Genomic DNA, 16876 nt, shown 5'->3' on the forward strand with positions numbered 1-16876 from the left:
TGGGATTACAGGCCTGCGCCACCATGCCCAGCTAATTTTTGTATTTTTAGTAGAGACAGGGTTTCACCATGTTGGCCAGGCTGGTTTTGAACTCCTGACCTCAGGTGATCCACCCACCTTGGCCTCCCCAAGTGCTGGGATTATAGTAGTGAGCCACTGTGCCCCAAAAGAAAAAAAAATTTCAAATTTCATACCTTAAAAATTATCTCCTTTATGAGATAACACCTGTGGAAAGAAAAAAAAAAGAAAACATTATTTCCTTCAAACTAACCTGGTAAAGTTTGGAAATACTATAAATCCTCAATATTTAAAACAGTGTAGTACCAGAGTGTGAATAGACAGATGAAAGCAATGTAAAATAAATTCTGAAATTGGCCTATTATAGTTAAGACTTTTGATTATGAGAAAGGTGGTATTGTCCTCATGAATCTCAATGAGGCTTAAACTGACCAGCCTATTTAATAGCACAGCCTTCCACCACATCCATCCCCAACATTCCTGGTCCCCCTCATCCTGTTCTTCTTTTCTTTCTATAGCACTGACCACCTCCTAACACACTATGCGATTATTTATTGTGTTTTTTTAATTGTTGGAATCCCCTCGCATAAACGTAGCCTTTTTATTTTGTTCACTGATCTATCCCAAGCATCTAGGAAAGTGCCTACCATATATAGTAGATACTTGATAAACATTTGTTAAATGAATGAATCTCAAATCAGTGGTGAAAGATGTAACATCCTATACAATAAGTGACACTGGACAATTGATAGCCATCTGGGGAAATACAGACAACCACATTGGTTCTAGACTTTACATCACACACCAGGAAAAAATCTAGATGGATTAAAGGCTTAAATAGAAAGATAACAACCGTAAAAGTCATTCAGGAAACCATGGGGAAATGATTGTATAACCTTGGAATGGGGAAACTTTGTCAAAATATCATACAAAAATCCAAAAGCCATAAATGAAAATATTGATAAATTTAACTACCAAAAGAAATTCCACAAGGCAACAACACAGTAAACATATTCAAAGACAAATAAAAAACTAGGAAAAAATGACAACTCAGTCTTTGCAATATAAAAAGATTGCCTATAAAATAGATAAGAAAAAGACTAATAGCCTAATAGAAAAATTGGCAAATGTTATGAATTAAAAATTCATAGAATAAAAACCAATGAGATAAATGAAGAGATGCCCAATTAAAATTACATTGAGATATCATTTTAAAAACTTTCAGCCTGATAAGTTCAAAAGCTTTATGACATACTGAGATGGTGGATTTATGAGAAGCACAAACTCTCAAACATTGTTGGTGGAAATTTAAATTTGTATACTTGTTATGAAGTTCATCACAGTAGTATCCATCAGCATATACACTCTTCTTTTAAAAAAAATATTTATTTGTTTTGAGACAGGGTCTCACTCTGTTGCCCAGGTTGGAGTGCAGTGGCGTGATCTTGGCTCACTGCAACCTCTGCCTCCCAGGCTCAAGTGATCCTCCCACCTCAACCTCTTGAGAAGCTGGGACCAAAGGCATGCACCACCATGCCTAACTAATTTTTTGTATTTTTTATAAAGATGGAGTTTCACTGTGTTGCCCAGGCTGGTCTCAAACTCCTGGACTCAAGCAATCTCACCTCAGTCTCCCAAAGTGCTGGGATTATAGGCGTGAGCCACCACACCCAACTCATATACATCCTTTCACACAGCAATTCTACTTTCAAGAATTTTTTCTTGTTACCAGACAGGATTAGCTAGGTTAAGTTGAGGTAATAAACAATCTCAAAACATCAATGGCTTAAAATTACAAAGGGCTTTTAAAAATGTCTCACTAGTGCCATGGAAAGACTATCCTTAAAAAAGTATCTCAAAAATATGTTTAAGAGAAAAGAGCAAGTTGAAAAAAAAATAGTGCCATTAGTCGTTACATCAGTGTACATCTAAGCTGCCATCTGGTGGTGGTTTTCTTCCTCCTGAAGAACTCTTAGTGTTTCTCGTAGTTCGGGTCTACTGGAAACAATTTTTCTCAGCTTTTATTTGTCTGAAAAATTCTTTTTTTTTTTTTTTTTTTGAGATGGAGTCTCCCTCTGTCACCCAGGCTGGAGTGCAGTGGCGCGATTTTGGCTCACTGCAACCTCCGCCTCCCGGGTTCAAGCGATTCTCCTGCCTCAGCCTCCTGAGTAGCTGGGATTACAGGCACGCGCCACCACACCCGGCTAATTTTTGTATTTTTAGTAGAGATGGGGTTTCATCGTGTTGGTCAGGCTGGTCTCGAACCCCTGACCTTATGATCCACCCACCTCGGCCTCCCAAAGTGCTGGGATTACAGGCATGAGCCACCGCACCCAGCTGAAAAATTCTTTAGTTCCCCTCAAATTTTTTTTTTTTTTTTTAGAGATGGGAATCTCAACATGGTGCCCAGGCCAGGTGGGACTTGAACTTCTGGACTCAAGCAATCCTCCCACGTCAGCTTCCCAAGTAGCTGGAACTATAGGGATGCACCATGAACTACTAATTTAAAATAAACTTTCTCCTTTATTAGTATTTTTTAGTAGAGACGGGGTTTCACCATATTGGCCAGGGTGGTCTTGAACTCCTAGCCTCAAGTGATCCATCTGCGTCAGCCTCCCAAAGTGCTGGGATTACAGGTGTGAGCCACCACACCCAGACATTCATCTTTATTTTTAAAGGACATTTTTACTGAACATAAAATTCTCTGAGTTGGCAGTTTTTTCTTTCAGCAATCTTAAGATGTTTATGCCTTCTGGCTTCAACAGTTGGAGCAAGAAGATTGCTGTAATTCTTATCTTGGTTCCTCTGGATATTTTTAAGGTTTTCTTTCTATCAGCAATTTGATTACGATGTGCCTCATAAGGATTTATTTGTGTTTATCCTGCTTGGGGTTTATTGAGCTTTGTGGACTTGTACATTTATAGTTGTCACTACAGTTGGAAATTTTTAAGCCATTATTTCTTTAAATACGTTTCTATCTCAAGAAGTACAGTTATCTCCAAATGAGCGTCATCTACATGTCCACAACTCTGATCAGACCACTCTTAGAGCCAGTAATGATTATTTTAATACCTACCATACTTTGTGTATATTTACTCCTCAGTAAATATTTGTAGAGCTGCACATAGGGAATTTCTTTAACACCTTTAAAGTTTATTTATTTAAATAAGAAATACATGCCCATGGTAAATATTTCAAATAGTACAAAAATATTTCAAATAGTACAAAAAAGGAGGTATTCTGTGAAAAGTAAGTCTTTGTTTCACCAAAGATACCAATCCCTGCCCCCTCCCCGTCCTAAGGCCATCACTGTTAGCATTTCCTTTTTTCTCCTCCCAAAATTGTCTGTGCATGTTCAAGTATATATGGATATATATCCTTGTGCTAGCATACTATATACACTGTTCTGCATCTTTTTAAAGTTTAATAATCTTGGCGATCATTCTATATCAGTACATATAAAGTGGGCTTTTTATGAATGGCCTAACATTACATCATACAGATGTATCATAATTTAATTAAGTGGTGCCCTGTTGGTGGATATTCAAGTCGTCTGGTCTTTTGCTATTGCAAATAATGTTGCAGTAAAGTAAAATGTAAAATAAAAGTAAATGTCTTACTTACTTAAAAACCTATTTTAAAAGTAAATGATGGACTTTAGGAGGTTAAGAATTAAAAATTAATAAACATATAAATAAATGAGGTACTCTAGCACTTGGGGTCATGCTGATGTTCTTGTCATCTAAATTTTTGGTTTATATGCTGCAAACATTGTCAAAGAAATTTCCTATTTCTTTTACAAGGAAAAGAGAAAAACATGTCAAGAATAGGGAGTACTATTATAAGAAAGCAAAAGTAACAACTTTGAAGGTTTGAATTTCTGGTGTTACAAACTTTGTATGCTAAAAAGATAAATGTTAGTTTCCACTTCTAATGATCAAGTCTTAGGAAGATATAAGCCAATAAGATATAAGCTGCTTCTGATGGTACAGCTTCAGGGAAACACCAGTGAGAAGCACGTGTCTCCCCTGATGAGAAGAGAAGTGCTAGGAGATTGAGCCTCAGTCACAGGCAGATGTGTGTCTTGACAGCCACGGTGTGTGTCTTGAGAGTTTAAAAGATGTGAAAGAATGATTTGACCCATTGGCTTGCTCGCTGAATAAGCACCAAGGCAAGAGAGCCTGGTAGTTGTCCTGCATAGTCTAGGAAGGACATTCTGAGAAGGATAACTAATACTTCATCCCTCTTCAACTTGATGCAACCTGAAGAGCAAGTCCTTGGGTGAAAGTTTCTTGTCCGGTACCAAAGATAGGAGATAGCAGGTAAAGGGAACAAGTTGGTACCATGGCAATGGTGTCCCAGTAAATTTTTATTTTGTTTTGTTTTGTTTGCAAGAACAGTATGGGATAAACAATAGCAAATATACAGCCTTGGTTTCCCCAAATCCTACAATCTCAGTGCAGGAAGGTCATCTTCAGCAGTCAGCTCAGAATAGCCTCAAGGGACATGATGTCTACAGCTTCTGGCTTCAGAATAATGTCCTATTACTGTCAAGTGGCACCCCCCACCATTTCTTCAAAGGCTGTGATAAGTTTTGCACAGATGAGGGCAGCAGAAAGGAGGTAGTTGCTGCTAGACACCATCCTTCTCTGTATATTCCACACTGACCTTGCTCTAGGCAAAGGCCCCCACCACAAAAACAATAGGGTCACTGTTGAACACCAGCTCTTTTTTTTTTTTTTTTTTTTTTTGAGACGGAGTCTCGCTCTGTCGCCCAGGCTGGAGTGCAGTGGCGGGATCTCGGCTCACTGCCAGCTCCGCCTCCCGGGTTCACGCCATTCTCCTGCCTCAGCCTCCCAAGTAGCTGGGACTACAGGCGCCCGCCACTACGCCCGGCTAATTTTTTGTATTTTTAGTAGAGACGGGGTTTCACCGTTTTAGCCGGGATGGTCTCGATCTCCTGACCTCGTGATCCGCCCGCCTCGGCCTCCCAAAGTGCTGGGATTACAGGCGTGAGCCACCGCGCCCGGCCCTGAACACCAGCTCTTACACCTACCTCGCTGATGCCTGGAATGGAAAAAGAAGTGCCGATTTTCTTTTTCTTTCTTTCTTTTTTTTTTTTTAGACAGAGATTCACTGTGTGGCCCAGGCTGGAGTACAGTGGCACAATCTTGGCTCACTGCAACCTCCGCCTCCCGGGTTCAAATGGTTCTTTTGCCACAGCCTCCTGAGTAGCTGGGAATACAGGCGCATGCCACCACACCCAGCTAATTTTTGTATTTTTAGTAGAGACAGGGTTTCACCATATCGGCCAGACTGGTTTCAAACTCGTGACCTCGTGATCCTCCCTCCTTGGCCTCCCAAAGTACTGGGATTAAAGGTGTAAGCCACCACACCCAGCCAGAAGTGCCAATTTTCATACATCCAACTGGGAAGTGATCTGATGTTGGATTCTTTTTTCTTTCTTTTTTTTTTTTAGGTGGAGTTTTGTTCTTGTTGTCCATGCTGGAGTGCAATAATGGTGTGATCTCAGCTCACTGCAACTTCCACCTCCCAGGTTCAAGTGATTCTCCTACCTCAGCCTCCCGAGTAGCTGGGATTACAGATGCCTGCCACCACGCCCGGCTAATTTTTTATATTTTTAGTAGAGATGGGGTTTCACCATGTTGGTCAGGCTGGTCTCCAACTCCTGACCTCAGGTGATCCACCCGCCTCGGCCTTCCAAAGTGCTGGGATTACAGGTGTGAACCACTGCACCTAGCCCTTTTTCTCTTTTTAAATATACAATTTTAGGATCCCTTTTTTTTTTTTTTTTGAGATGGGAGTCTCATTCTGTCACCCAAGCTGGAGCGCAGTGGCACAATCTCTGCTCACTGCAACCTCTGCCTTCTGGACTCAAGTGATCCTCCCACCTCAGCCTCCCAAATAGCTGGGACCACAGGGCGTGCCACCACACCCGGGTAATTTTTGTATTTTTTGTAGAGACGAGGTTTTACCATGTTGCCCAGGCTGATCTTGAACTCCTAAGTTCAAACAATCCACCCACCTTGGCCTCCTGAAGTGCTGGGATTACAGGCGTGAGCCACTGCACCTGGCCTTATAATACTCTTTATTGTAAATTTCATATGACCAGTTGATTCTTACCAAAAGCTTTTGTTGATTTTTGTCAAACGCTGATATTTCTAGCCAACCTATGATTGCAACTGACAAGCAAGTATAGTTCTGACATGAATATTGGTTGATATTTTGATTTACATTAATGAGCAAGGCAAAAGTGAAATAACAAAGTTGTGTATTGGAACTTTACTCATTTGTCAATGACGTGGGCAACTTCTTCGCTAAATTAGGTAAGTCTTCAAATACTGGAAGGCTATTTTCTCAGATTTTTCTATGCCCAAAATATAATAGCTACAGACACATCTTTAAGTTTAATCTGCATAATTAACATTTTCTCTATCACTTTAGTTTAGACAATCAACAGAACAATAAATCAAACCCTGATTTGTAGCACTTGCTGATTTCAAGCTAGCTAACAAGATGAAGTTCCTGAACACACCCTGGGAAGAGATATGCAGCAGCCCACCACTGTATACTGTTTCTTTTCTTTTCTTTTTTTTGAGACAGAGTCTTGCTTTGTCGCTTAGGCTGGAGTGCAGTGGCACCATCTTGGCTCATCACAACCTCCACCTCCCAGATTCAAGCGATCGCCCTGCCCCAGCCTCCCAAGTAGCTGGACTACAGGTACCCACACCACACCCGGCTAATTTTTGTAGTTTTAGTTGAGACGGGGTTTCACCCGTTGACCAGGCTAGTCTCGAACACCTGACCTCAGGCGATCCACCCACCTCGGCCTCCCAAAGTGCTGGGATTACAGTCATGAGCCACCAAGCCCAGCCAAGTTTATATCATTTAAGTTTTAAAGGCTGGGCTTGGTGGCTCATGACTGTAATCCCAGCACTTTGGGAGGCCGAGGTGGGTGGATCGCCTGAGGTCAGGTGTTCCAGACCAGCCTGACCAACATGGAGAAACCCTGTCTCTACTAAAAATACAAAATTATCCGGGTGTGGTGGTGCATGCCTGTAATCCCAGCTACTCGGGAGGCTGAGGCAGGAGAATTGCTTGAAGATGGGAGGCGGAGGTTGTGGTGAGCCGAGATCACGCCACTGCACTCTAGCCTGGGCAACAAGAGCAAAACTCTGTCTCAAAAAAAAAAAAAAAAAAGTTTTAATAATTGCTGTGTTTAACAACTGGTTTGTAGCATTCCTGAAAATGTAACAACCAGCTCTCGTGACCTGTTTTGGTCTGGCTCCAGCATACAACTGTGCCACTGCCTTCTCCTTTGCCCACTGTTTCCAAATAAATAAGCTTCTCAGTTTAGTTAACAGGTGTCCATTTCTTTAAAAAAAAAAAAAAATCTCCTTTTCTCCCATGAGATGGGGTAGGGAAGATGAACTCCCTTTTTCCTATCCTTAGACTTCCCTGGGCAGGTGAACAAGTCCCATGGAAGTTTGGTGAGGGGCTTCAAGGGGAGCCAAGAGGATTAAAGCCTGTATGTTCCCGAGAGCCTTCCTTGCATCTGGCCAGCTCACTGCTGCCTTGGCATAACTTTGGGAGGGTCATTTTTTCCATGTGGGGTAAGGCTGAATGTTTACAAAGTGGAATAGGCTGCATTACTGCTGGTTTGTAGTTGGTGGAAAGAGGGAGAAAAGAGCCTGGCACATCCTCTGTCCTTCCTCTTCTTTTTTTTTTCCCTTTTCTGTTGTCACCATCACATTCCTTGATGTCATTCCTGCCATTGTGAGCTGACAGGCCCTCCCAGCCCTGGTGGACAGCCCGTAAGTAAATGGGGAGGAAATGCTGGGGAGGTGGGGGCAGATCACATCAACATCCTGGCATTGGGCTGGGTCGGCGTGGAGCCCCAGAAATGTTCCCAAGCCCATTCTTACCAAGAACCAATGAGTAAAATCAGGGGCCTCCCACCTGAGGTCAGGGAACCAGGCCCTGGAGTGGAACTTGGGGTGGAAAATGGCCTTCTTTGTCAACTGATTCATTCTCCAGAATTCAATTTGTTCTCCAACTCGGTGGTGTTTGAAAGCAACTTTATCCAGGTACCCTCGTGGAGCTCAGGGCCAGCTGTCTTTCTGTTTCCAAAACCTGTTCCTAGGGGTTGGTTAGGAGATGCTGTGGCCTTTTAAAGCCCTGGGGGAGGGGGGGGCGGGGGGACAAAGAAGCCACCAAAGCTAGAGAAAACCAGAAGGTCTGGGTCCCAAGTTCACCTCCATTTGTGCCTACCGTATGATAGAGCTACCTGCAGGTCATCTGTTCTAGGGAAATTGATTTATGCTTTACAAATGAGAGATCAGAGCTCAGTCTCCAGGCAGGGTTCACAGGCCCTTTCTGGGCCACTTGTCCAAAGTGGATGGTTACAGGGAATGAAGGTTGCTGTTAGAAACTCTGCTCTGAAATCCATCCTCCTCAGTCTGGGATGGTTTAGAAACAGCCTTGTTTGAAAGCAAAGACACTGGGTAAATAGGTGTTGCCCAGATCCTACCATTCCCTAAAAGGATGGTGGTGACATGACCAATGGAAGTGAGCCTGGGATGGGGCCACTGGGAGTGGAAGGTGGTCGTTTTCGTAAGTATCAAGTCTTAACGCGGGTGCTGCCTGCCTCCCTCTAGCGGTCTAGCCTGAACCCATGCTCCTGCGCAGGAGAGCATAACCAGTTAATCAGCCAGTAAGCACACACTAAACATCTACTGAGTGCAGGGCAGGAGGTGCAGAGAAAAATCAGAGTGTCCCTGGCCAGGAAGCCTATGAGTTTGGTTTACCTGTTATTTGGTAACTGTCTAAGCAAGCTCTATGTCAGAGAGCTTGGGCCAGCTGATGCACCAGGCATGACTGCAGAGAGCAGGTGCTGGGGGCATTCATTCAAGGCATTCTCTCTGGACTTTGGCAGTTGAAGAAGGCTTTCCAGAAGGGTCTTAAGCCATTCTTTGAGAGACTGCTGAGATTTTGGTAAGTGGAAGAGCAGCGGGGAGGATATCCCAGACAGAGGGGCTTCAAAGTACCTAAGGAAAGGCAGGGAGGCTGGAATGCAAGGTCTGCAAGACACAGACCCATTCAAATGGAATGGGAAAGTAGCCAGGGGTTATAGGAGAGAAGGTGGGAACAGTTTGAGGTGGGTCTTGGGCTTAATTTGGAGACTCTTCACAGAGCAGCGAGCTGCTCCCTAATGGAGTCCCCGGATTTTGGAGAGCTGTGTTTATGGCTCCTGCCGCTCCACGGTCCCTTTACTGTGCCCCAGGAGATGTGTAGTTGGGTGATCAGCTGGCAAACCTGAGGCGAGCTCATTCCTAACATACCCTTGGTGGAGACAGAGCAATAACATGGGAAGTCCAGTCTCAGGATCCAATTTCTAGTCATTTCTATTTGGGTGTAATGATTCAGCTGCAAATTTCTTCTCTTAATGTGTGCTTTTTTTTTGAGATGGAGTCTCACTCCGTTGCCCTGGCATGGTCTAGGCTCACTGCAACCTCTGCCTCCTGGGTTCAAGCAATTCTCCTATCTCAGCCTCCCGAGTAGCTAGGACCACAGGCGTGCACCACCTCGCCCAGCTAATTTTTTTGTGTTTTAGTAGAGATGGGGTTTCACCATGTTGGCCAAGATGGTCTTGATCTCTTGACCTCATGATCTGCCCGCCTTGGCCTCCCAAAGTGCTGTTTTCTTTGGCCTAATATTAAAACTGTTTAGATTCTCTGAATGGACACTAAGTGACCTGGGTAGCAGCAAACTTAGAATGTGCTAGGGAGAGGCTGACCCGCACAGAAAAGTTCAAAGTTTGATTTTTTAAAAAAAAATTTTTGATAGAGACAGGGTCTCACTATGTTGCCCAGGCTGGTCTTGAACTCCTGGCTTCAAGTGATACTCCGGCTTTGGACTCCCAAAGTGCTGGGATTATAGGCATGAATGACCGCACACAGTCCAAAGTTTACTTGAAGTGATGCAACCCACATATTAGTTATAGTTATAGTTGTTATAGTACAGTTACACTGCTTCCTCTCTCCCCCTTCCTGCACATCACCATCACTATCATCATCTCAAAGCAGCATTACCCACAAACATTTATTGAGCACTTACTCTCAATGTGTACAACCCTTTGTGTTTTGCAGAGGATATGAATTTCATTCCTCAACAAGGGCTCCAAGAAGTGTCACTTTTTTTTTTCAAAATCAAAATTCACTTTTCTGGGAACACCATCTGGTCAGGCTGGTGGGAAATTACATTTCAGTCATCCCTGGGGCTTTCCCTCATCCCCAGTTCCACCAAGGACTGGGCAATGGTGTCGATAGTTTTACAAAGTCTAGAACATTGGCTGGGCATAGTGGCTCATGCCTGTGATCCCAGCACTTTGGGAGGCTGAGAAGGGAAGATCACTTGAGCCCAGGAGTTTGACACCAGTCTGGGCAACATAGTGAGACCCCATCTCTATTTTCTAAAAAAAGTGTAGAGCATTGGGAGAAGGCCCTCTGGCCTTGGGAACATAGGCGTCCCTCCTCATATGTTCCTTATCCAGGTCCCTGTGGCTCCTAAGTGGCCACAGCTCTGGTGCTTTTCTGCCAGCCGTGCACAGTGAGGTGGGGGGTGTCTTAGCTGAGACACAGTGCCCAGTGGTGGGCATCCAGTCTTTCTGTCCTGTGATGGCCGCCTTCTGCTTCAAGAGAATAGGTCCTCATTCCACTCAAGACCCAGCAACAAGATAGCCCCTCCATCATCCTGGGAGAAGTGCTCCAAACCTCCCTCAACTCAAGCTGTCTGGGTCTTCCCCATTCAACAGCTTTTTCCTCACTTTCCTCTCCTTCTGGGACTTTCTTCACACAATCTCCCTTTTGGGCCACTAGAAACCAGTGCTGGCTTCTCCTGCCCAAAGATGGGGGAATGAAAACTTCAGTGCCACTCAGCTTTTTCTTGCTAGTGCATCTTTTTAGTTAGATAAAACAGTTATCTTTTTAGTTAGATAAAACAGAGGACCCAGAGAAGAATGACACAGGGTTCCTGCAGCCAATGACCTTAAAGTGTATTTGGGGAGGCCAATGAAAAGGATCAATAGCAGGTCAGGGCCCAGCCCAGTGTGTGCACACCTGCCCCCAAGATGATGTGCCACTTTCCAGCATCTGTATTCCACCCCTTGTTTTCTGCTCCTTTCTGACCCATGTACCTGAGGCTGATTTCCAGGTCACTAAGCCCGGGAACTGGAGAGATGTCTGTGAAGGGTCTGCCACCGTGATCCTCGGGGTCACCTCCTCGGTGCCCTCCCTGCCACTCCCCAATGTCCTCCTGATGGCCAATGTTACCTGGCCCCAGGGTCCATTTACCACCTGGAGCACACCTGGTGACGCCCCAGTCATCAACCTCAGCAGGTAAAGGCTTGAGGGAGGGCGGGAAGGGATGGAATGATTGACTGGGATATGCATTGCTTTGTAGCTGGATTTTAGATCAAAAGAAAAGATAGCGTTCTTTAGTGCATAAACCCTGTAGAACTCATTCATTCATTTGTTTAGCAACGATTTATTTAGTATCTTTTTTTTTTTTTTTTTTGAGACAGAGTCTCGCTCTGTTGCCCAGGCTGGAGTGCAGTGGCGGGATCTCGGCTCACTGCAAGCCCCGCCTCCCGGGTTCACGCCATTCACCGAGTAGCTGGGACTACAGGCGCCTGCCACCATGCCCAGCTAATTTTTTTTTTTGGATTTTTAGTAGAGATGGGGTTTCACTGTGTTAGCCAGGATGGTCTCGATCTCCTGATCTCGTGATCCACCTGCCTCGGCCTCCCAAAGTGCTGGGATTACAGGCGTGAGCCACCGCGCCTGACCTTATTTATTTAGTATCTATATTTACCAAGCACTGTGCTTCGTGCTGGGATAGGGCAGTACCCAGTCCTTGTCTCGAGCCTGGTTTTTGAGAATCTTGGCTTCCTTTTCTGTAAATGTGTGTGTGTGTGTAAGTGTGTGTGTATATATGTGTGTGTGTGTATATATAGACACGTTTCCATGTCTTTTAAAATCTTTTTGTAAATATCATTTCGATAATTTCTTTAGTAATATGAGTGAATTAAAATTCACTTGACAAGTCCCTAATATTAGACATTTAGAAATGTTTCTTTGTCAATATAGATAGAGGGGGTTTCCAAGGAAAAGGTGGGGATACAAAAGTCAAACACGACTATGAAATGCTGAGATTGAAAAAAAAATACTAGATATACAGGAGACAGCTATCCTTTTCCTTGCCCTTTCGACACAGTAAGTCAGGATATAGGGAGAAAGAGTCCTAGAAACTGAGTCAGGAAACCTTAGTTCCAGGTCACACTTAATAAGATCTAAACTTGGGCAAATCACTTAGCCTCTCTAAGCCTCAGCCTCGAAATCTGTAAAGCGGAATTAATCATACTTATCTTGGCAGGGCACAGTGGCTCACATCTGTAATCCTAGCTCTTTGGGAGGCTGAGGTGGGAGGATCGCTTGAAGCCAGGAGTTCAAGACCAACCTGGGCAACATAGGGAGATCCTGTTACTACCAAAAAATACCAAAAAAATTAGGTGGGTGTACTGGCATACACCTGTATTCCTACTAAAGTCCTGGAAATTGGAGAAGAGTCAGTCTTAGTAATCACCCCCACTTTCATTACATGAGCTTTCTCCCTTCAGCATCCCCCAAGCAGAGAGGTAGGAGGCCAGTGTCGCTGAGCCACCTCTAGGTGGGCACCCACATGGTCGATTGAAACCACGGGCTCAGCCGGGCGTGGTGGCTCACGCCTGTAATCCCAGCACTTTGGGAGGCCGAGGCGGGCGGATCACGAGGTCAGGAGATCGAGACCATCCTGGCTAACACAGTGAAACCCCGTCTCTACTAAAAATATAAAAAATTAGCCGGGCGTGGTGGCGGGCGCCTGTAGTCCCAGCTACTCAGGAGGCTGAGGTGGGAGAATGGCGTGAACCCCGGGGGCAGAGCCTGCAGTGAGCCGAGATCGCGCCACTGCACTCTAGCCTCGGCGGCAGCGAGACTCCGTCTCAAAAAAAAAAAAAAAAGAAACCACGGGCTCTCCCATGGAAATGTCCTGATTATGTCCAGGCTTCTCCCCCTGAAGTACGTGGAGCTACGAATCTACGACCGGCTCCAGCGCATCCTGAGGGTTAGGACAGTGACCGAAAAGATCTACTATCTGAAGCTCCACGAAAAACACCCAGAGATTGTGTTTCAATTCTGGGTCCGCTTGGTGAAAATTCTGCAGAAAGGCCTGTCCATCACCACCAAAGACCCGAGAATCAAATTCACTCACTGCCTGGTGCCCAAGATGCCCACCAACTCCACAGAAACAACAGTAAGTGGGCCTCCTTCCGGGACCTGTCGAGAAATAAGTATATATAAGTATATATGTAAGTGTCTGTGTATATATATAGACTTGTTTCCATGTCTTTTAAAAGCTCTTTGTAAATATCATTTTGATAATTTCTATTCAGTAGTATGAATGAATTAAAATTTATTTGACCAGTCCCTAATATTAAGACATTTAGAAATGTTTCTTTTTTTTTTTTTTTTTTTTTTTGAGACAGAGCCATGCCCTGTCACCCAGGCTGGAGTGCAATGGCGCGATCTCGGCTCACTGCAGCTTCCACCTCCCAAATTCAAGCGATTCTTGTGCCTCAGCCTCCAGAGTAGCTGGGATTACAGGTGTGTGCCACCATGCCTGGCTAATTTTTGTATTTTTAGTAGAGATGGGGTTTCACCATGTTGGCCAAGCTGGTCTTGAACTCCTGTCCTCAAGTGATCCACCCACCTTGGCCTCCCAAAGTGCTGGGATTGCAGGTGTGAACCTCTGTGCCTGGCCTGTATTTGTTTATTATTGTAAATAATGCTAAAACAAGCATTTATATGTATGATCTACATTTCTGATTATATTCTCAGTTAGGTTTTTAGAAGTAGAATTCAAACAGCATGAACATTTTCAAGGCTCTTAACACATATTGCCAGATTATTTCCATAAATATCATACCAAATTATACTCTCACCAATCATATGAGTGTCTGTAGTCTGGATGCAGTGGCTCACGCCTGTAATCCTAACACTTTGGGAGGCCGAGGCAGGTGGATCACCTCAGGTCAGGAGTTCGAGACCAGCCTGCCCAACATGGTGAAACCCTGTCTCTACTAAAAATACAAAAATTAGCCAGGCATGGTGGCAGGCCCCTATAATACTACTCAGGAAGCTGAGGCAGGAGAATTGCTTAAACTCAGGAAGCAAAGGTTGCAGTGAGCTGAAATTATGCCACTTTACTCCAGCCTGGGCGAAAGAGTGAAACTCCATCTCAAAAAAAAAAAAAAAAGATTAGTATGTTACTGTGTATCTTATTACAATTAAGAAGTAAATGTTTTAATGCATTTCCTAGTATAATAGGTAAAGAAGTGGCATCTCTGATTTTCAATGAGTTTCAGCATTGTTGCATACATATATACATATGTAACAATCGTTACATACATATATACATATGTAACGATTGTTACATACATATATACTTATGTAACGATTGTTACATATATACGTATGTAACAATCGTTACATTGTTATGTATTTGTAGTTATATATAACACAAGATTGTTTTTATATATATATATATTAATGCCATATATATGGCATTGTCTGTTGTGTTCTTTGGCCATTTTTCTATTGGCAATCTTGTGTTTCTCTAAATTGATTTGTAAAATTAAACTTTTTTTTTTTTGAGATGGAATCTCACTCTGTCACCAGGCTAGAGTGCAGTGGTGTAATCTTGGCTCACTGAAACCTCCGCCTCCCAGGTTCAAGCGATTCTCCTGCCTCAGCCTTCCGAGTAGCTGGGACTACAAGTGTGCGCCACCACGCCCAGCTAATTTTTGTATTTTCAGTAGAGACGGGGTTTCACCATGTTGGCCAGGATGGTCTCGATCTCTTGATCTCGTGATCCAACCACCTTGGCCTCCTAAAGTGCTGGGATTACAGGTGTGAGCCACTGCGCCCAGCCTAAAATAAAACTTTTTATACATTGGGATTTTGGACCCTTACAAATTTTTACAAATATTTCCTCAAGTATTTGCCCTTCCTCTTTGGTTTATTTAGGGTACGTCTTTGATACACATAAGGCCTTTCCAGGTCCTGCTTGGTGTAGAAGCACAGGAAGGAAGGCCAATAGATTGGACTGTTCAAAACCTTCAGATTTCAGAATCTAAATGCTTTCCTCCTCTCACTTAAGTTCTGTGCTTCAAGTATGTTATTGACTCTGAAGGTCAGCAGTTTTACAGCCTGACAGCCCTGCCTCTGAACGTTCAGATCTGCACTCAGGACAGAGCAGCCACTGCAGTTGACCAGGGAGCAGGTGTGACCCTGCCAGGGGTCTCATTTCTTGTTGGATGATTCTCGGGACTTAATGCTGAAGGAACAGGTTCCCAGGGTTAGGGTGTGAAACTCAACTGTAATATCACAAACCCCTTCAAAGTTCTACCCCGAGGAGGCCAAGAACTCTCTGAGCAGACCTAGCCATCTGACGCTAAATTTCTCCATCCAGCCTGAAAACAGCCTCCTGTCATCCCCCCAGCCCAGCGAGCCCCTCGTGCTGCTGGCGGCTGAGCAGACCAGTGGCAGTTTCTCACAGCTCTCAGGAAAGCCCCAGCTCACAGCAGACAGGTGGGTCCTCTGTGGGGTCAGCTCCAGATCCCTTCCTCCAGTGTGAAGTCATGGGGTCAACGAACCTATCTCAGTTCCTTCTTTGTATTCTTTGTATTTTAGATAGTCATGCACATGGCTTTTTCTGTCAATTTTATTGTAAGCCTGCCTTTGAAAACAAGGTCTTTGGCCCTTTGATCTGAATATTCACTTCTTAGGCAAACTCCAGTGTTTTCTAATGACAGGTGTTCAATAAAAGGAATGAGGGATGAGAAAATTAATTCAAAGAAGTGTAAGCTAACAAAGCAGGCTCATGGTGGAGTTAGCTATTGACTATTTCCAATCCAAGCTCACAAGGATCCCTGGGGTAAAACCCTAGTTCTCTTTGCCTCATCTGCCTCTTCTTTTTTAGTTTTCTTTTTCCTTTCTTTCTTTCTTTTTATTTTTTTTTTGGAGACAGAGTTTCACTCTTGTTGCCCAGGCTGGAGTGCAATGGCGTGATGTCAGCTCACTGCAAACTCCACCTCCTGGGTTCAAGCGATTCTCTTGCCTCAGCCTCCCAAGTAGCTGGGATTACAGGCGACCGCCACCACACCCGGCTAATTTTTTGTTATTTTTAGTAGAGACAGGGTTTCACCATGTTGGCCAGGCTGGTCTCGAACTCCTGACCTCAGGTGATCCACCCACCTTGGCCTCCCAAAGTGCTGGGATTACAGATGTGAGCCACTGCGCCTGGTCCTCACCAGCCTCTTCTGCAAAATGGACAGAATAAGGGAAACAACCAGTAGCTCCAAAGTCTCATTAATTTACTAATAATTGTATTAGATTCTTTCTGTAACAAGTAATAGAAACTCAAAGCAAGATAGTGCAACCAATATGCTGCACAAGTGCAACTTGTAGGGTATCATCAAAATGCAAATTTATTTTGTCTGCCCTTCATAACTTTTTCAGTGGGAGAAGGTTTCCTCTTGCCCCTGGATAAAAGCTGGCTTTCTGGGCAGGCCACATAGCATATGGGCTCTCTCTGAGAATATAAAAGGTCCTTTGGTCCATTTAAATTGCAAAAGCAGCCTCAATTCTGAAATTAAAATATCTAATGTCTGAAAACTATCAAAACCCTGAACTTATCACATCTTCTTACCCTCAGTCTGGCTCCCTATCAAGGTGACCTT

The 16876-nt window shown here is 44.0% G+C and overlaps 1 protein-coding gene across 17 annotated transcripts in view, besides 1 other annotated feature; it reads left to right on the forward strand.

Moving 5' to 3' along the window:
* The window catches only part of GARIN1A (golgi associated RAB2 interactor 1A), a 37538-nt gene continuing 27866 nt past the window's right edge, over positions 7205 to 16876 (forward strand). For 8 of the 17 annotated variants that reach the window (XR_007060024.1, XR_007060022.1, XR_007060023.1 and 5 more), the window contains exons 1-4: positions 7868 to 8126; positions 11224 to 11435; positions 13140 to 13389; positions 15607 to 15725. Coding sequence is in view for 4 of the 17 variants with exons in the window: in NM_001012454.6 (NP_001012457.3) it covers positions 7974 to 8126; positions 11224 to 11435; positions 13140 to 13389; positions 15607 to 15725 (734 nt within the window). In the remaining 13 variants the exon portion in view is untranslated. The other 9 variants (XR_007060029.1, NM_001128926.4, XR_007060033.1 and 6 more) reach the window with 8 other exon arrangements.
* Positions 8730 to 8789: a silencer, noted in NCBI's record as "silent region_18611". NCBI's record gives its function as "represses an Ori minimal core promoter by ATAC-STARR-seq in GM12878 lymphoblastoid cells {active_cell/tissue: GM12878}" and the evidence as "EXISTENCE:reporter gene assay evidence [ECO:0000049][PMID:35858748]".

This window comes from Homo sapiens, chromosome 7, assembly GCF_000001405.40.
Source record: "Homo sapiens chromosome 7, GRCh38.p14 Primary Assembly".
NCBI lineage: Eukaryota > Metazoa > Chordata > Mammalia > Primates > Hominidae > Homo > Homo sapiens.